General features: G+C 42.8%; 1 protein-coding gene across 3 annotated transcripts in view; it reads left to right on the top strand.

The window, feature by feature from the left end:
• Positions 1-18,649, top strand: part of MARCHF3 (membrane associated ring-CH-type finger 3) — a 162,845-nt gene that overhangs the window by 100,933 nt on the left and 43,263 nt on the right. For 2 of the 3 annotated variants that reach the window (NM_178450.5, XM_011543131.4), the window contains exons 2-3: positions 11,399-11,642; positions 14,492-14,696. In NM_178450.5, the coding sequence (NP_848545.1) occupies positions 11,455-11,642; positions 14,492-14,696 (393 nt within the window). In that variant the 5' untranslated portion in view covers positions 11,399-11,454. Of the gene's footprint in view, positions 1-11,398; positions 11,643-14,491; positions 14,697-17,434; positions 18,228-18,649 lie in introns of those variants that run through there. The other variant, XM_017009015.2, reaches the window with a different exon arrangement.

The following is an 18,649-nucleotide window of genomic DNA, read 5'->3' as shown; positions in this document are numbered from 1 at the left end:
AAGACTGGCTATCATAGGAAAGAATTAAGCAGTGCTCATGACTTTTTTGTGTAAATCATATTTAACCAGATTGCACTGATTCTTTGTTCCAAAAGAATTCCAGCTACTAAATATAGAAGGGAAGTTAGAATTGGAAAAGCATAATTGGATAGCTCCCAAATGAAATAATTGATTCAGGCAACTGTCATCAGTGGATGCAATCATTAGACCCTTAGAATTGTGTACCTGGGGACTTCCCTGAGCCCACTAAAAGTGGGACCGCCATACATTACTTGCCATCTGATGTGATGCACCAAGAGTAGACAGTACCATCTATGAGCTAGTATTGCCTGAGAGTTGAACCTGAAATGAATCAAGCCAATCCTGGGGTTCCAGAAAATACAGGAAAGAGAGGAACAAGTGAAATGGTAACACAAGAAGACAGACAAATTTAAAAAATGGAGATTAGGACAGGGCTCTAGAGGACCTCTACGTGAATTTCTTCAACAGACAATGGCTTGGGAAGAAAGGGAGAGGCCGATGTGACTGAGAGGGACATACGATGAATAACATCCAAATATGATGTGTACAACTTGTTTGGGCCATTTAAACAAACCAACCAAAAGATTTTTTGAGACAATTGGGGAAATTTAAATATAGTCTGGGTAGTAGATGATATCAAGGGAATATTAAGTTTGTTAGATAAAATAATGGCTGTGTGGTTATATGAGAAATGTTCATATTTTTAGAAATTCATACTGAAGTATATAGGGGTGAAATGACTGATTTCTGGGATTTACTTTAAAATCATAATAAAAAGGAAGGAAGAAAGGATAGGTGAAACAAATGTGATAAAATCTTGATTAATTTTTAGATTGGCATATATACATTCTCCTGTAATAGTGTAAATAATTTTTATGAACAAAGGGAAGGAAATGCAAAAAGTAAAATAAAAATATTGGCATAAAAAATTTTAGATTGGGATAAGATATATGTGGATTTACTATCATGTTCTATTTGACACTTTTCATAATAAAAATATTAAGAAAAAAATAACAAATCTCTCTCAGAGATAATAGTGGGGGGTCCATGGCCTAGAAGCAAGATAGGACCTCTGACTAGAAAAAGGTCATTATCTGAGAATTGAACATTTTAAAAAAAATTTTTTTGACAATCTCCTTTACTTAAATTTAAAAAAACCTATTTCTTTTGGATTTTTGGTTGGTCACTAGAAACCAAGTTCCTTGCCTTATAACAGGCAATTGAAGGAGAATTTGGGAAACAAACAGTCTCTGGTGTTGAAGTTAATGCTGATCTTAGCTGGAATAACTTGCTTTCTTCAGCATCTGCAGTGGCTGGTCTCCTGGGACTTATCTGGCTACATGTATTTTTCACATTTATTAGTGAAATTGGAGATTCAAGAATAAAACACCGTCCTCAGGAACATTGTGTTAATTTGTGACACGCTAGAGATTTTTTTAGCCCATAAAACAAATGAATGAGCTCCGTGGGGGCATAAGTGTTATTTTCACCCTAGAAGGCAGTAAAGGCCTACTGTATTTATTAAGTACTTAGAAGATGGAAAATGAATAGTGCTATGAAAATAGAAAAATACACTCACACTGTTGCTATCAATAGTGTAATTTTTTTGTCTGTCCTGAAGGAAAAGTACCATCAGATGAAAACGTGTAAGGGTAGACCTCTGTATATTATTTAGTTATTTTGCCTGGATAATAATTTAATTCAGTCTCAATATAAAGTTGTTTTTGTTTCTATCAAACAGGCTGAATCCGGGTAAGAAACCTCACCCATTATTTTTGGCAGGGCTGGGCCTACAAAAAAAAACAAACAAACAGAACAACACAGATATTTGATTCAGGACCTTCCTTCTGAGTGGCTAAGTGACTTAAGGGGATGTTCTGTGTAAGCTGACACACTGTGGGCATTTCTAACAGGCCTTACACACTTGGCTTCCCAGGAGGATTGTGGAGACAGCATGCCGGTCCTCCCACTGAAAAAGTCCAGATGGAGCCAGCACTCCAACAGGTGGGGGTGTGGAAGAGAGGCCACTCTGTACCAAGATGCAGGGGACTGATGCAGCCACCCAGGCCATGATGCATGCTGTGCCCATACAGGCAGGCAGGTCCCAGCCAGGGAGCAAGTGCAGGGAGTGGGCATGTGTTCCAGTTAGAAAAAAATAGCACCTCAGAGGTTCCCTAAAGAGGTTCCCTAAAGAGGTTCCCTAAAGAGGTTCATAAGTGCTTTGCATTGAGGTACATAGAAAATAAGTATCATCACCAAGAGAGAGACCCTATTCTCCATCCATTTCATGGTCCACAAGAATCCAGGATACAGGCTATGCAGACAGCAAGTGATAAAGTGATCTCGGGTAACTCGGTCCTTGGCTATGTGTTACTTTGTTCTTGTGCTTGTTTGGTATCTTGACTGTTTAAAAGACTGGACCCATTTTAGGGAGCCAATCAAAAAGAATCTGTATTTTTTGTGTGTATATGTGAGTATGTGTGTTGGGGTTTAGAGGAGGGAAGCCATGTCTAAGGCCAAGGAAAGTAATTCCAGGGGGAGTTCCTGTGATTTTTTTTACCTGTTTATACAAGACTATCAAAGCAGATGTCAGTAGTTGTGTCTTCATGAGCTATTGGCTTGGGAAGATGGGGGCAGGGGTAATGAGAACTGTAGAAGAGGGTGGGCTGAGTGAGGAGCCTAGAGGTGGGATCTGGAAGGTGCCCCTTGTACCCCTACCCTGGCCCCGTTGTTCTGAGCTCATCCTGTTGCTCTACAGACTTAACTACTTCCCATTATCAAAAGTCCTCTACCTGCCAGGCCCACACCTACCTCAGGTCCTCAGTCTCGGGGGGAAACTGAGGTTCAGTGTCAAGTAACTCTCCTGTTGATAAGCAGCTGGGTGGTGGTTCAAAGCCAGGACTCCCTGACCCAAAACCAGAGCTCAGTCTCCTCAACCCCAAGGTTCCCAGACAGCTCCTTACTCAAAAGCTAAATGTGTGAAAAGGCCATGAAGGAACACTCAAGACAGGTTTGTTTCTGTAGAGTATACATGAAAGAACAATTGGTGTTTTGAGGACGTTTGGTATTATGTAGCATATGATAGAGAGTTCATCTGTCATGCCTAGGAGGGGGATGAAATGCAAAGTCCAAGGAGGTTTAGCCTTCATATTCCTTGGCAAGCTGAGTGACCTTGCTTATCTTGTGTGTAAATGCAAAGTAATGCAGCCAAATGTGTTGTGGGTCCTTGTGGGCCTGAAAGTGCTCCAGGGAATGCACAGGGAGGCCCAGCCTACCTGAGCCTGATGGAATGCAGAGTTTAGACTGCCCTGCCAGTGGACAAGACTGCAGCCTCCCTGTAGTCTGGGTGAAACGAGGAAGAGGAAAGTTCCAAGGAACCCTGATTTAAAATAAGCTCACAACTGGCTTTATTCTAGGCTTCTGGAGGCTTGGGTTAAGAATTAGCACATCTGTCTAGCTAATACTGGTTTGCTTATGCAGAGGAAAGTGAGGTACAACTTGGAAATGAATCCCAAATCAACGTCCTTCATGATAGGCTTTCACTTGGATGCTGATTTTTAAAAAAAATGTGTGTGAGCCCAAAAACAAATTGGGAGCCTTCAGTCCTTAGAACACATTTAGCTTTCATTGTGACTGAGATGTTTTTCTCTTGTATTATCAGACATCCTGACCAGCATGCTGTACCCTTCAGGCCTTTCCTTATGCATGCTGGACAGGTAGCTATTTGCTGCTGGTCACACTGAATATCATTTGAAGAGTACATTTTAATTTTTCATCCCTGAGTAATGTCCCATGAATGTCTCATTATGTTTTGCCTGCTCCTCTCAATTTTTGAACTTGATGTTTAAACTTTTCTGATGTGCCCTCATTGTTCCCGAGTGCCCAGAACTCATCTGTGCAACCCCCCTCCCTCAGCTCAGTGGGGCTCCGTGTGTAGGAGCCAGTTGTTATTTACAAGTGCAATTCAGCTGTCGCTGTGTCTTTGAACACATAGCATTGTTGTGGGATTTTTAATTGCCATTTTCATCTATATAATTAAAATTAAATGAAAAATGGATAGCCTCCAAAATCTGAATTAATTTCATAAGTACTTCTTGAGGGAAAAATATGTCTAAATATGATAATTGTTACTTGATTTGCCTTCAGCAGAACTAGAGGATTTTACCTGGCTGAAGAGAAAATACAGTAATTTTAAATAAAAAAAAAAGATCTGTCTGATATTTTGGATACTTCTTGTGGCTGAGAATCAGAATTAATCATGTGGATGAGAAATGATAAGTAACTCTGAATATAACTTTAAGGTAGTACACTAGGAACATATTATGGTAACTCTCCCCGGATCCAACTTGCTTTATGCTGGTCAGGTTTTTTTTCTCCCTCTAACTCATCACTGGGGCTTATACATTTCTCAAGAATATGCCATTACCCCCAAATCAAAACCTCCCTCATGCTCAGAAACAGGCATTTCACCTGCTTACTGCTTAACTGTGCCCTGTAAGCGTGACAATGAGCACCTAGCAGAAAATAATGAGACAACAAAAAGAGAAGTATTTTTTAAAATTCATTGGGCTGGCCAGTGTTTCACTCTGCAGACTCATCAAGCGCCTGATGGACATGTTTGTAAAGACTTGGATGGTCACTTTATTTGGAATGACAAATTCTGCGCTCCACATAATGAGGTCAGTGAAGCATCCAGAAAAGAAATGTATAATTTGGTAGTGCAGTCTGTAAGCACAGCCCTGCCACGGCTATTTAAGTTTAATGAAGCAACTACTTTGCCGCTACACATTCTTAGTGAATAGCCTCCTTGGCATGTTTTTGAAAACTTAAATGTTGCTGGTAATCATGTCACAGCAATCTCCTTGGAGAGCCTTTGTGTCCTGTTCTCAGAAGAAATATGCCGTTTTTCCATGTTAATGGTTTTGAAATTAGTGATTTGCTCTATTTTCATTGGAAAGGAAGGTCACTTTGTGATTTCCTACCTTCCCTCATTTTCTCTGAACATTCAGGATACTCTTAAGTCAGTTCATCAGCCATGCAGTGCACTGTCTGGTTATAACATGCCTGAAAAGCCAGAGGAATGTTCTATCAAAGAGCGGCATCCCTATTCTCAGAGACTGTTCTTAGAATTCAAAGTGTAAAGATCTAACTCAGAGAGGAAAGTTCCTGGACAGACCATTATTGCCATTTTTTTTCCCGTTTCAGTCACTGACCGCCTTGTATTGTCCATTCATTGGTCTCATTAGAGAAGGCTGTGCTCCCCACGTATTAAGCCTCTCACAGAGGACATTTAAAAATCCTTTCTGAAGCAGATTCACTCATGTAAAACTAAGGTCAGACTTATGGATCCTGGACCAGCATTAATGACGCAGAACTCTGTGGGAGCAGAAAGACGTCTAGCCATTCTCAGTTCTTCGGTGTGGGTCCCCAAACTTAGGGCCTCGGGTGGTTTCCCCTGAATGAGCAAGCGCATGATTGATTGTGGAAAAGTGCTAGGTCCTCATGGCTCTGCCACCCCAGTGAGGGTCTGGGGAATTCTCCAGACTATTTGGTGGCCTCCACATTTCCTTGGGAAATGTAAAGTAGGATTTGAGATGGCTGGACCCTGCACCACCAGAAACTTCCTAGGAATACCTAATAAGTACTCAAAAAAAAAAATAGTGAATGGATGGAAGGATGAATAAATGAATTTGCTTCTTTGATTTGCTTTGTCAACCAACTCTGGTTGTAGAGGTAACACAGGATCCTTCTAGGACATATTGAGACCTGCGGAGCCTACCTCTTCTTCTTCTTTTTAAAAATTGTATTTTATTGCAGTAAGAACACTTAACATGAGATGTACCCTCTTAACAAAATTTTAAGTAAGTGTCCAGTACATCATTTCTGACTATAGGTATAGCAGATCTCTAGAGATTATTCATCTTGCTGGACTGAAACTTTATTCCTGTTACTAAACTCATTACTTTGGGGGATCATTTCTATAGTTTGTTATCACTTCTTGAAATCTCTGGAATTGGGTATGAAGGTTGAATATGGAGGTCCAGACTTGCTCCAGACTGCCTCCAAGTTAGGGCCTGCTTAGACCGCTGTCCAGGCAGCTCACATGACCATGTCAGTGCCAGCCAGCACTCACATTCTCCTGCTCTCATTTTCACCTTTAAACCTTTTGAGTCATTTTTCTACCCAAATAGAGGTGCCAGTATAACAAATTTCTCCCACTTCTTGACCTCCATCTAAGAGACTAATGTTGACTTGGCACTGAAAATGTCGTTCTGATACAAGTAGGCCTGAAAAGGGCCTTGGGATTGGCCTGTGTTTTATTTTCTAGTGTATTTATCACATGCTGGATTAGTTAAGATAATAACTGCTGCTCTGACAAATAGACCCACGTATCTCCAACATCATAGCAGCTTTTCCTCATATATCTTTGTTTTTCTTTTTTCAACTTTTATTTTAAGTTCGGGGGTACATGTGCAGGATGTACATGTTTGTTACATAGGTAAATGTGTGCCATGGTGGTTTGCTGCACATATATCTTTATTAAGCATTTTCATGGAAGAATGACACCTATCTTCCAGATCTGAAGGCCGTGGGGTCAGGGAAAATGAGAAGTGGACATGCAAGGATGAGGCTCCCTCTGTTCTCCCTAGCCAAGAGAGATGGCATGGGCAATGTCAGAGTTCAAGTGTGATGCAAAAGGTACATCGTGGTAGAGGTTGACCAGACATGAGGAAAGACAGTTTTAAAAGACAGAAATGAGGCTGGGCGCAGTGGCTCACGCCTGTAATCCCAGCACTTTGGGAGGCCGAGGTGGGCGGATCACGAGATCAGGAGATCGAGACCATCCTGGCTAACATGGCGAAACTCCGTCTCTACTAAAAATATAAAAAATTAGCCAGGCATGGTGGCATGCACCTGTAGTCCCAGCTATTCGGGAGGCTGAGGCAGGAGAATGGCATGAACCCAGGAGGCGGAGCTTGCAGTGAGCGGAGATCACGCCACTGCACTCCAGCCTGGGCGACAGAGTGAGACTCCGACTCAAAAATAAATAATAAATAAATAAATAAATAAATAAATAAATAAATAAATAAAAGACAGAAATGAGATGTAGCCCAGGCTAGAAAAAGAGCAGAAATGAAGGTTAACATAATAATAAAGTTCAAACTTCTCTGTACATGGCATGTTCCTGCTTACAAAGTGAATTCATATGTATTATCTTGTTTTAGACCTCACAAACAACCAGGTGAGGTGGCTCAGGATGTGTTAGTATCCTAATTTCAAATATTCAGGAAATCTCAGGAAAAGTCTGAGAGGCTGAGTGATTTACCTTGGTGAGTAGAAAGCCAGAGTGTAGGCTTTGGTGTTGTGCCTCCAACAACAGAGCTTTTTCCCTAACTCATGATTCTCCTGGAGGTTTGGGGGCTGCTGAGGCAGAGGGGCTGCAGAGGTGAGCAGAGCCTGCTTCCCTTCCCTTCCCCCACGACCTGTGGCCGCATCCTCGTTATGCCAGCCATGTTCCCATGGAAATCACTTACCAGTGGCAACCTATTCAGAAACGCAGCAATGAATCGCTGCTGCCTGGTTAGGTGTCCTGCTTTTGTGAAACCTGTACCCTGTCCTTTTCAGGGGTCACAGTTTAACAGACAAGCCTTTTTATTTTAACAATTCCCTAATCAGGCTTTCATTTATTTGCCCACCCCCTCTGTTTTCACTGTCTCCCTCTTATCCACCTACTCCCGCTCCTCCCACTGTGTGCAGCTGAGTTTGGCCAGTGCCAAATCATGTTTTATTCTCAGCCTGAGAAAGAAATTATGCAAGGTGTCAAGCCTGGCCAGCAAAGGACCCATCCCACCAGTGCCGTTTGATGTTTTAAGTTTGCACATACACCGCTCCCTCCCTGAGAGAATTCTTGGGTAGACTGGGAAGTACTTTACCACAAGAGCAGTGCACTGGCATTGATAAGAAAGCAGTCAGATAGTGCTTGAAATTTTGCAGAAAGCTCAATAGAAGACCCATGCTCGACTGCAAACCAACAGCTCAGCTCTTTCTAGCATCCTCGGCAACAGCCTGCTGTTTTCCCAGGTGGCTTTGAACTAGACAAGGAAAATGCAGTGGGCCATTTGTCACTGCCCCAGGTGCAACATATGCATGCCAGTTGGTGCATGCAGCTTGTGAGGTCCGCTCCTGCCTGCCCCATGCCTGCATCTAGGCCTCTGGGCTTCCCTTTCACTGAGATCAGGGCAGAGTGTGCTTCCTTTCCTCCTCCGCCACCTGAGTAGGTGGTTAGATCCACTCTTCTGAGATTAGAACCAACTCAGCCATCCCCACCATGTTCAAGAGTGCTAATGCTTTGTGTAATCCCTCTTAGCCCATTAATTCAAGTCCACGGTCTTTCAGGGCTGTTGGGACTCATTGCTGGCATGCCAGTCTTAGAATCTTAAGGTTATTCTGATGTGTGGTATACGTAAGACATGCTGGTATGTTTTTCAGGGAATGCTGGACCGGACTATCATTTTAGTTAGGTCCTAAATTGAGCTAGGGCTTAGAGGATCTTGGATGCAGGGTTCTGCAGATATGGCCCAAGAGAAAGAGCCAGGGCTTGCTTGTAGGAGAAGGCAAGGTGTGGTTTCTTTTGTTCTTTTATGCTAAACTCAGTGCCCAGCACCCACTACGAATGGAATAAACTGATCAGGTGGCAAATAATATCCCTTTTACCTGTGAAAGAAGAAATGAAATTATGCAGAAGTGAAATTACATATATAAAATGAATTTAAGGGAAGCTCTGCTTCTAGAATATTTTTAAGGACATTTTATTGCGGATTTAGGTCACACATTTAGAACTACTTCCTTTGATGAGGACTTAATCTAGGTTACAAGTGTGTGAACTTGGGGCTATTATATGCCTGGGCGACAGGCAATTCACTGAGGGTAGCCTAACTACTGGCAGCCCTGGGTCCCATTATTTACTCTGCGCACCCCCTCCTTACCGTCTTCCAGTTCCATCAAGTAGAGGGAGGGAGTGTTTGGCCCTCTGAGCTGGAGTTATGCAAAACCCGAAAATAGACTCTCAGAGTGCATCTAGACATAATGATTCCATGCGGCAAGAAGGTCACTGTGTCTGCTTTTCCTGCCAATACACCCCTGGCTCTTAATCTATGGCTGCCTTGTGAAGCAAGAGAGCTGTGCCAGGAAGTTACACTTTGTGACTGTGAAGCATTATGAGAATTTAAAATCATGTCAATGGAGTTTTGTAAGGGCAGGCCAGAGGAGAGTAGTTATGCACAGTTTTAGAAGAGGACGGTCTTTTAACATCTCTTTGTTTTTCGGTCTGAAAGCTACCATAACTCAGTTTTTAAAAACAAAACAAAACAACTGTCTGGCCCCAGTCACAAATCAACTGCACCCTGCCAACCCTTTCAAAAAAATAAAAAGAAGATATCTACCCAAAAAATTTACTGGGGTTTTCTGAATGGTGGGATTATGAGTGAGTTTTATTGTGTTCTTTGTGCTCTTCCATAGTTTTTATAACATACCGTATACTAATTGCTTTGTAATTTTTTAAAAAAAGCAAAAAATCCTATTTAACCTAGTCAGTTAGTTGACCTATACCAACTAACTGACTGTGCTGAATGTTCAGTATTGCTGGTCTTGAAAATGGCATGAGTGGGGCAGCCTCTGCCTGTGCCCCCACATCAGGTCTCAGACAAGGACTGGAGTCCACAGCCGTCTCCCCACTGTGGGTTCAGAAGGGCTGCTGGGCAAAGGCAGACGCAGACCCTGAGAGGACGCCAGGCAGCCAATGAGGGTGGGAAAGGGAGGCTGCTGGTGCAAAGCCAGCCAGACACCTCAGCAGCAAGGAAGGGATGACAATCACGTCCGATGATTGTTTTGGACAGTCAAGCCTGCTTGACATGTGCGTGTCGGGAGGGAAACTGTCAGTTTCATCAGGAAACACTGCATTCTTGCCTGAGAACATCCAGTTGATGCACATTGTTCTGGAAGTTGGGAAGATCCTGTTTTCCAGAACCATGGGGATCAAGGAAAATGTAAGAAGTAGAGACAAATATCTGGGAGAAAACAACCCCTTGCAGAATTCCAGGAATCCTCTTGGGGTTTTGGGTTGTGCAAATAACAAGATATTTCATTTATTTAAGTCTGAGCCTTGACCACCTAAATGGGTTCTTGATGTGAGCTCAGTCTGTCAACTAATCCTGCTGCTGTCTACTGAGCCCAGGCCATGTCGAGCTCGGGAGCTTGAGGTGAGCAGGCTAGCACTCCTAGCCATGAAACTGTGTCATCTCACCTTTGGACAGAATTCTTCCTTCAAGTTTCTGTAAAAACCTCTATTTCTTATGTGTCACATGCTGACCTATTATTGAATCCAGTGGAGTTCCTCACTCCAGTGGGTCTGAGTGCTTTGAACTTGAGGTCATGACCCAAGCCTGCACCACACAGATTGGGAGCAGAATTCCTCACGGTTTATATGATAAACCATGTGCCTAGGAGGTAAGGCCCTTATTTGTAATGGATTATGTTTAATTGGTGATAGAGATCTCATTCATTATTTTCTCACGTTCTCCTATGTGTTTCCCTATGATGATGCATATACATCTGCATTTTAGGTAGTACACAAACAAGACATCATGCTAACGTATTTATTGTCACGTTCATTAGAAAATAAAAGCTCATTAAACTCATTTCATGAATAACTTGAAGACAAAGCTAAAATAGGTTCCATTTTTAAAGGAAGTTAATTTCAAGATGTATTGAGTAGAAAATTTTATTATGCAACAGATATGGCAAAAGTCGAAAGGTGGTACAGTCATTGAGTGATTCATGTTTGGCAAATATTGTCCTAGAACATACTATTAATACTTGGCCAAATTCATTTTTATTTTCCTTCCTTCTTTCTCTCTCCTTTTAATCTTAGTATCTCAGAATGAAGCTGCATGTAGAATAAATTGCTTACCAGAAAAAATAGTTCTGAATGTTTTTAATAATGATTTTAGTAACTTTTAGAGAGTGTCAACAAAAACTTATTGCTTCTCTAGCACAGAGCAGGGAACTGCTTATCTTCTCTTCAGATCTGGGCCTCAGAGTCATCATTCTGTCCCCTCGTGGAAAGCAGGGCTGCTAAATGTTTATATACACGGACATGCTTGCTGTCTTATTCATACCATATCTGCTGTTTCTTGTGGGCTCTGTGTGTGTGTGTGTGTGTGCACTTGTATTAAACAGTAACAAGATAATGTGCCACATCTAGGCTACCCCTGTTATTTGTATTAAATAATGACATGATGATGATGTTGGTGGCCCATAATTCTCCATTTTCTATTAGCCACCCTGCCCAAGTAAACTGTTTTCTGATCTCTCTTAGATGGAAATCCTGTATGAATGTGGAAGCCATTAGCAGAGTAATTGCTGTCTGTTACCATGACAACCAGCCGCTGCAGTCACCTGCCCGAAGTCCTGCCAGACTGCACCAGCTCAGCTGCACCCGTGGTGAAGACGGTGGAGGATTGTGGCAGCCTAGTGAATGGGCAGCCGCAGTATGTCATGCAAGTTTCAGCCAAGGACGGGCAGCTGCTGTCAACAGTAGTGCGGACTCTTGCCACCCAGAGGTAGTACCACAATTAAAATAAATGAATCTGTAATTGATCCAGAGAACTCTTTGTCAGATGGAAAATGCTAATGGGAATGTAATTAGTGCTCAGGTCTTTGTGTCAGGTGAGAGGAGGTGCTGGAAAAAAAAAAAAAAGACTACACGAGTTCTGTTATTGCCGTTTCTATAGCAATAGGATATAAAGCTAAAATTCACCTTATCAAGATTTCCCCTCAAATCATATTTACAAAGAGCCAGGAGGGGAAGGAACCCACAAGATACGGGGTTGTTATTTTGACATTGTTATGCTCTCTTGTTGTCTCCAGTAGGTAACAAAGGTGGTCCTATTGGAACAGGATTAAGAAGGTATCTGATTTCAGGCGACTGAGTCAAAGTGATTGGATTTGTGGGCAAAACTTTTGAAGTGACATTCTTGGTGTGCATGTGGACTGGCATTGCCTGATGGAAGCGCTGTCCAGGGCTACTTTCTGGGTGGGTGTCTTCTTATCACTTGGAGGTCTCTTCTGCTGTCCTCTCCTTCAGCCTCAATGGTCCCCCATCCCTGACCCTTCACGCACACTCTACCCTATGAAGTGCTATTGTGAAAACCTCCTGAGCCTTCCCAAGTGGTGAACTAAAGCCCGAGTGCAGGCTCTGAGCAGCTTGGAGACCACTTATCCTGACCAGCACTTTGTCTCCTCTTGTGCTCTTGTTGGATAGGGAGCTATGGGCTGCCAGGCTAATAGGAACTCCTTGGCTTCTCCAGCTTTTTCTCAGAATGGTTAAGTGGGACTTCTAACCTATGCATTTAAAAGGTGGATCAACATTGGATTTGCCCCCTAGTGTCAGTGCTGACACTTCTGACCTCTAACATAGGACCAGTCATTCACACCTTATTCTCTTACCTCTGTCTGAGTGATCAGTCAACCCCTCTGGTGCAGTGGCATCCCACCCTGGGCATGGTGGCCCTCAGACACTGAATCACACTCCCATGCTGTTGTAAACACTGCTCATATGCCCTCCATTTAAAATCTGTGCTGCTAGTGCAAAGGAAAAAATAGAAAAACCTTTAATATGTAATTTCTGACTCTTGGAGAACTTTTAACAATTGGTTAGGACTCAGAACAGGATGAGGCAGTGACTATCTTCGGTCCTCTGCGAACTGAGACTGGGTGACTGATGTGCCCCACTCACCCTTGCAGGCATCAAACAGCTCACTTGACCAGGAAGAGCAGGCTATGGTTGATGTGGTTGAGACCTGTGAGCCTCTGTGTGTGTGTGTGTGTGTGTGTGTGTGTGTGTGTGTGTGTCTGTCTGTCTGTCTGTCAGGTATTTTTACCTGCTTTCCCACCATGCGGTACTGTAAACCAGGTTTCAGAGTTTTACAGGCTCAGTGTAAATGAAGGAGGCCCAGAATCATGAGTTAAAAAAAAACTTGTCAGCTTTCTTTTCCCACTCGTGGGCACAAGTAGGCCTTTCAGGCTAGTGGGAGGGAGATCCTTTCCTTTTTTGATCTCCTTTTGGCCTTCACTCATTCCCAGGATCATTCTCAGAAAGGCCTTTGGGAAACAGCAGTCTTCCATGGCTATTTCCATTTGGACCAAAGATAGTGTTCAGGAGGATGAATGGGCATGTGCCTGGGTCACTGTCATCTTTGGGAGGCATACAGAGAGGCAAGGGAGGGCAGGTAAAGAGGCTGGTCCTAGGATTGTCACATATCATGAGGACACATTTTAAAATCTGTTGCCCAGTGAAGAATAGCACAAGCAACATAAGACATCCATCAGAGAGGCATGGTCCTCTCCCAGGGCAGGGTACCTCCCAAGCAGTGAGGCCATCCTCTTTCCATTGGCCACTGACTTACCTGATGAGGGCCAAGTTATTTGATTTTCTCTGGCCTGAGATTTTCCTTGAGAGATAGTAGCTAGCATTAACTAGGCATTTGCTGTATGCTGGTCCCTATTCTAAGCTTCTAATCTGGGCTATCTTTTCACATGCTCACTGTCATCATATGAAGAAGGCACCATTTTTGTGCCCATTTTAGAGATAAGGACACTAAAGTATGGGGAGATGAAGTTACTTGCCCAGAGTTATCCAGGTAATAGACAGCAGAGTTAAGGTCTGAGCCCAGCCAGCCAGATTCTGGAGCCTGCACTATGAACCCCTAACTACACTAAGCTGCCTTTATGAAATGTGTAGGAGTGGTTTTTCCAAATTAAAGGCAGAACTCTAGACTGAGGCTACCTCAGTGGGACATACTCATTACTCGCTTTCAGTTTGGTATCTTTGGCATCCCATAGAGCATCCTGTGAAAGCTCAAAGGACAATCCACCACTCAGCTTTGTGCTGTGGCTCAGACTGCAGTTCTGTGTAGTGGCTGCAGGGTTGGTTGCTGGCTAACTTCCCTCCTCTCATTCTCCCACCCTATTGAAAAGAGAAATGAGAAGAACCTCTGGATATGCAAACATGTCTTGGTTTGGTCCGAAAGATTCAATTTGTCATTTCAAACAATTTCTCTTCTTGATGATGAAGGATGGTTATGATTTTTGGATTAGTAGTTGACATGAACTACATTTATATTCAAGGCAAAAATATCCACTGCTTGTTTTCACTCACTTTTGATCCTGGGCCACACCCAGCTACTTTGATATTGGCAATCCCCTATTTCTTTGTGTTGTCACAAGTAGGTGACCCAAGTGCTCTAGAGTGCCCAGAATCATTTGCCCCATTGCCAAGGTCAAGTGTAGATCTAAGAGGTCTTAAAGCAGCTGCCTCTGGGGAGGGCCCAAAGGACAAGAGCTAGAGGGCCATCCACTTGGTGGAGGTTTCCAGCCCAGTGACCAGCAGGTGCCCCTCCTTCTCTTGCAGCCCCTTCAATGACCGGCCGATGTGCAGGATCTGCCACGAGGGCAGCAGCCAAGAGGACTTGCTCTCTCCATGTGAATGTACAGGGACCTTGGGGACAATTCATCGGAGCTGCCTGGAGCACTGGCTGTCATCCTCAAACACCAGCTACTGTGAACTCTGCCACTTCAGGTTTGCAGTCGAGCGCAAACCCAGGCCGTTAGTGGAGGTCAGTAAGTGGGGCACGTCCTGAAAACTTAGCTCTAATGAGCAAATGATGTCTGTTTTTATGCCTGGATCACAAGCCCTGTACAGCTTTACTGAAGCACGGTAATAGCTATGTGACTGTGTGTGTGTGTGTGTGTGTGTGTGTGTGTGTGTGTGTGTGTGTTTGAGAAAGAGAGATGTAGACAGACAGACACAGAGAAGGGAGAGCTTGCTAGCTCACTTGGGATCCAGCAGTAGAAGGAAAGCAGAATAAATTAGTATAAGGAGAAAGGGCCAGTTTAGAGACTTGATCTCCATTTTTCAATCCCTGTGAAATGGAACCAACAGATCAAACATCTTTCTCCTTGCGCACCATCTGCCCAACTTGAAGCAGGAGATAAATGGGCATTTGGGTTGCATATCCTGAGAAGTCTTCATGAAAAAGTATAGCTCCATAGTTTAATGGATATAGACCCAGATGTCCTGGGTTCTGTGACCTCGGGTTTGTTACTTTACCTTTTGGAATTACTATAAGGATTAAGGAAATTAATATTATAAAACACTTAAAAGAATACAGGGCACATATGCAACGGTTTGAATGAAAATATCTCACTTGGGAAATTACACACAAACTTTTTTCAGCCAATAACCTAATGTTATTGAACTCTTGGCTGGGCGCGGTGGCTCATGTCTGTAATCCCAGCACTTTGGGAGGCCGAGGTGGGCGGATCACAAGGTCAGGAGATCAAGACCATCCTGGCTAACACTGTGAAACCCCGTCTCTACTAAAAATACAAAAAATTAGCCGGGCATGGTGGCGGGTGCCTGTAGTCCCAGCTACTCAGGAGGCTGAGGCAGGAGAATGGCAAGAACCTGGATGGCGGAGCTTGCAGTGAGCCCAGATCGCACCACTGCACTCCAGCCTGGGTGACAGAGCAAGACTCCGTCTCAAAAAAAAAAAAAAAAAAAAAAAAAGTTGGATATTGGCAACAGTAAATATTTTAATATATTATAAGCCAGAGCTAGCTGAAGGGAGCCAAAACATTGTATCTATGATTCAGACCTGCTCCTAACCTCCTTATTTCAGCAGCTAACTCAGTGAAGCCCTGGAATGAAAACTAGTGCTGGAAATCAAGAAGCGCTTCTTGTAGACTATTTAATAAGTGTGTTAGCACCCAGGCTTAAGATGCTAGAGAGCTTTGTAGCTCTGTGTATACATTCTCTTGGGTTTGACCTTGAAAATTAAATCAAGACCTATAACCGGGGCCTGTTTTAGCTGTTATGACTTACTTGCCAAATGGCACAAAACTTACTTGACTTGCCCCAATACACTCCATGCTTTGCTTAAGAGTCGAGATCTAGTGACCTCTTAATTTAGCCATCTTGCCACTTGACATCCACTTTCAGAAATTCATATTCAGAAAGGGCCTGTGGGGAATTTGGCCTTGTGCCAGATTCATTGGGATTTAACATTTTAGAACTTAACTGTAGAGGGGCAAATATAATTAAATAATAAACAAAGGAGTTGAAAATTTCTCAAGCCTAATGGCAAAGTAAAAAGGAGCTTATTTCTCCTTTCCAGAAACTTTGTGGAACCTCCCCAATTTGATATTGCAGCCTCTCCAGGGAAGCTGGCTTCCCACAGTGAGGAAGTCCTGCTTTGAAATAGACTCTATCCAGCGATCTTTTTAACTAGCGTTTCCCCAGTAAAAATCCCAGTGTATGTGCACGTAATATATAACAAAGGAGGGTGTGTGTGCATCTGTGTGTGCACACATGCATGTACATACCCTAATTTTTCTCAGACGAAATCCATGTGGCAAATCACCCAGTGATCTCTCTCAGTCTCAGAGAGGGTAACATGTACCCACATACACAGGGGTCTTCAGAGTTGCTGAGGTCAGGTCACAGACTCATTCCTGGATCTTAGGCAACTGTCATTAAACAAGGAAACAAGGCAAATGACCTTGAGAATGTGTGAGGTGCTCTACAAGATTTAGGGCCTCGCCTACAAAAACTTCACCCAAACGGTCACCAGTGATGAAATTTTCATTGCACAAATGGAATGTGACAATTTTCAGAGTTAATGATGATTGAACAAGTTGAAAGTGAAAGGCAAACCTTCCCAAGCTGGGGGAGGCTGGCCGTTTGATCATCCCATGGCGAAATGAACTTGCTGTTTGACCACAAGCAATAAAAAGAAGTTGTCTTTGGTTTCTCAGCTGGAGGACAAATGAGAACCAGGTGCGGGCAGAGTTTTAAACAAATGACATTACTAATTGACTTTTCCCCTCTTATCAGAGGGCAGTTTATTCCTAGTGAGCATCTCTTCTCAATACTTTCACCTCAAGATAAACATGCATCTTTTTTTTAAGCAAATCAGCAAAACCTGCCTATTTGGGTTAAGGATTAAGATTAGTGTTACTTTATTTCTCAGTTTTACTCTTTTAATTGCTTAATCATTACTTTGTTTACCAGTTGGATCTGCCTTCTCATTAAAGCAAGGAAATTCCATAACATTTAATTTCAAAATCGATGTGACAATAACAGCTCTTGTTGCTCGAGGAAGCAGTTTAAAAAGTCATTTATAAATTTTATTTGTCAGCATCTAAACGCTAACATTGGTTGGAATTACTTTTAACACCTCAGACTTCCAGTTGTCAATAAACCCTCTCAGTCCTTCGTTCTGCATAACTGTTCATCCCCCTTCATGCCACCGTTCCTAAGACACTTCTTCACTTCCTTTTCTTATCTCTGCAGCCCACAGTTGGATGTTCATTTTTAACTGGGCAGGAACCCAGGGCTGTTGTATGTACACTGGCTGCTATGTGAAGTCTTTTTTTCTGCCCATAAGGGTGAGTTTCTACTCATAATGGCAAATCAATGGGCTGATTTTCATTAGAACCTCCAAACTGGGCATGCCCTCCTCACTTAGCCACTGGCCATCTGTGTGGGTTGGTTCAACTTCTCTGAGCTTCCCTGTGGAAGAGGGTGAGCAAAGAGCTCTCCATGACATCTTTTGGTCTCTATAAAGCTAAAAGTTATTGTTCAAAAAATGTGTATTCTACACTTAAAATGGATATACTGTATGGCGTACAATTAGACCTCAGTGAGTTGATTATGTGTGTCTACTTACCTCTCTACCTACTTTACCTACCTTGCCTACCTACCTACATGGCCAGTCTAAATCTTTTAGTCTCTTTTACCCTAAATATTGGTGAATCCTTTTATGGTTAGTAGATATCTATTTACTACATTCTACTGGATCATTATTCATATTTTCTTGGTGCAAGGTAAGCCAGTATAACAAGAGCTAGTTTCAACCCAAGAGCACTACATTGCAATCATCTATGTTAGTCAGATGTGAATGAATTTCTGATGAAGTCCAACTAATGCAAATCTCATAAGGTCTATGTCCAATCACACAAAGCTTGAAAGAAAAGCATTCAAAATGTAGATTATCGGGGGAACCTGCCCCTGATAGTCATGTAGGTTCTTTTCTATTTTCCCTAAGTGTCGGCCAGTCTGAGAAATAAAGGGACAGAGTACAAAAGAGAGAAATTTTAAAGCTGGGTGTCTGGGGGAGACATCACATGTCGGCAGGTTCTGTGATGCCCCCTGAGCCGTAAAACCAGCAAGTTTTTGTTAGTGATTTTCAAAAGGGGAGGGAGTCTACGAAAAGGGTGTGGGTCACAGAGATCACATGCTTCACAAGGTAATAGAATATCACAAGGCAAATGGAGGCAGGGCGAGATCACAGGACCACAGGACCCGGGCAAAATTAAAATTGCTAATGAAGTTTCAGGCATGCATTGTCATTGATAACATCTTATCAGGAGACAGGGTTTGAGATTAGACAACTGGTCTGACCAAAATTTATTAGGCAGGAATTTCCTCGTCCTAATAAGCCTGGGAGTGCTACAGGAGACTGGGGCTTATTTCATCCCTACAGCTTCGACCATAAAAGACGGCTGC

This window comes from Homo sapiens, chromosome 5, assembly GCF_000001405.40.
Source record: "Homo sapiens chromosome 5, GRCh38.p14 Primary Assembly".
Lineage (NCBI taxonomy): Eukaryota > Metazoa > Chordata > Mammalia > Primates > Hominidae > Homo > Homo sapiens.
This window is presented reverse-complemented; position numbering and strand designations above follow the sequence as displayed.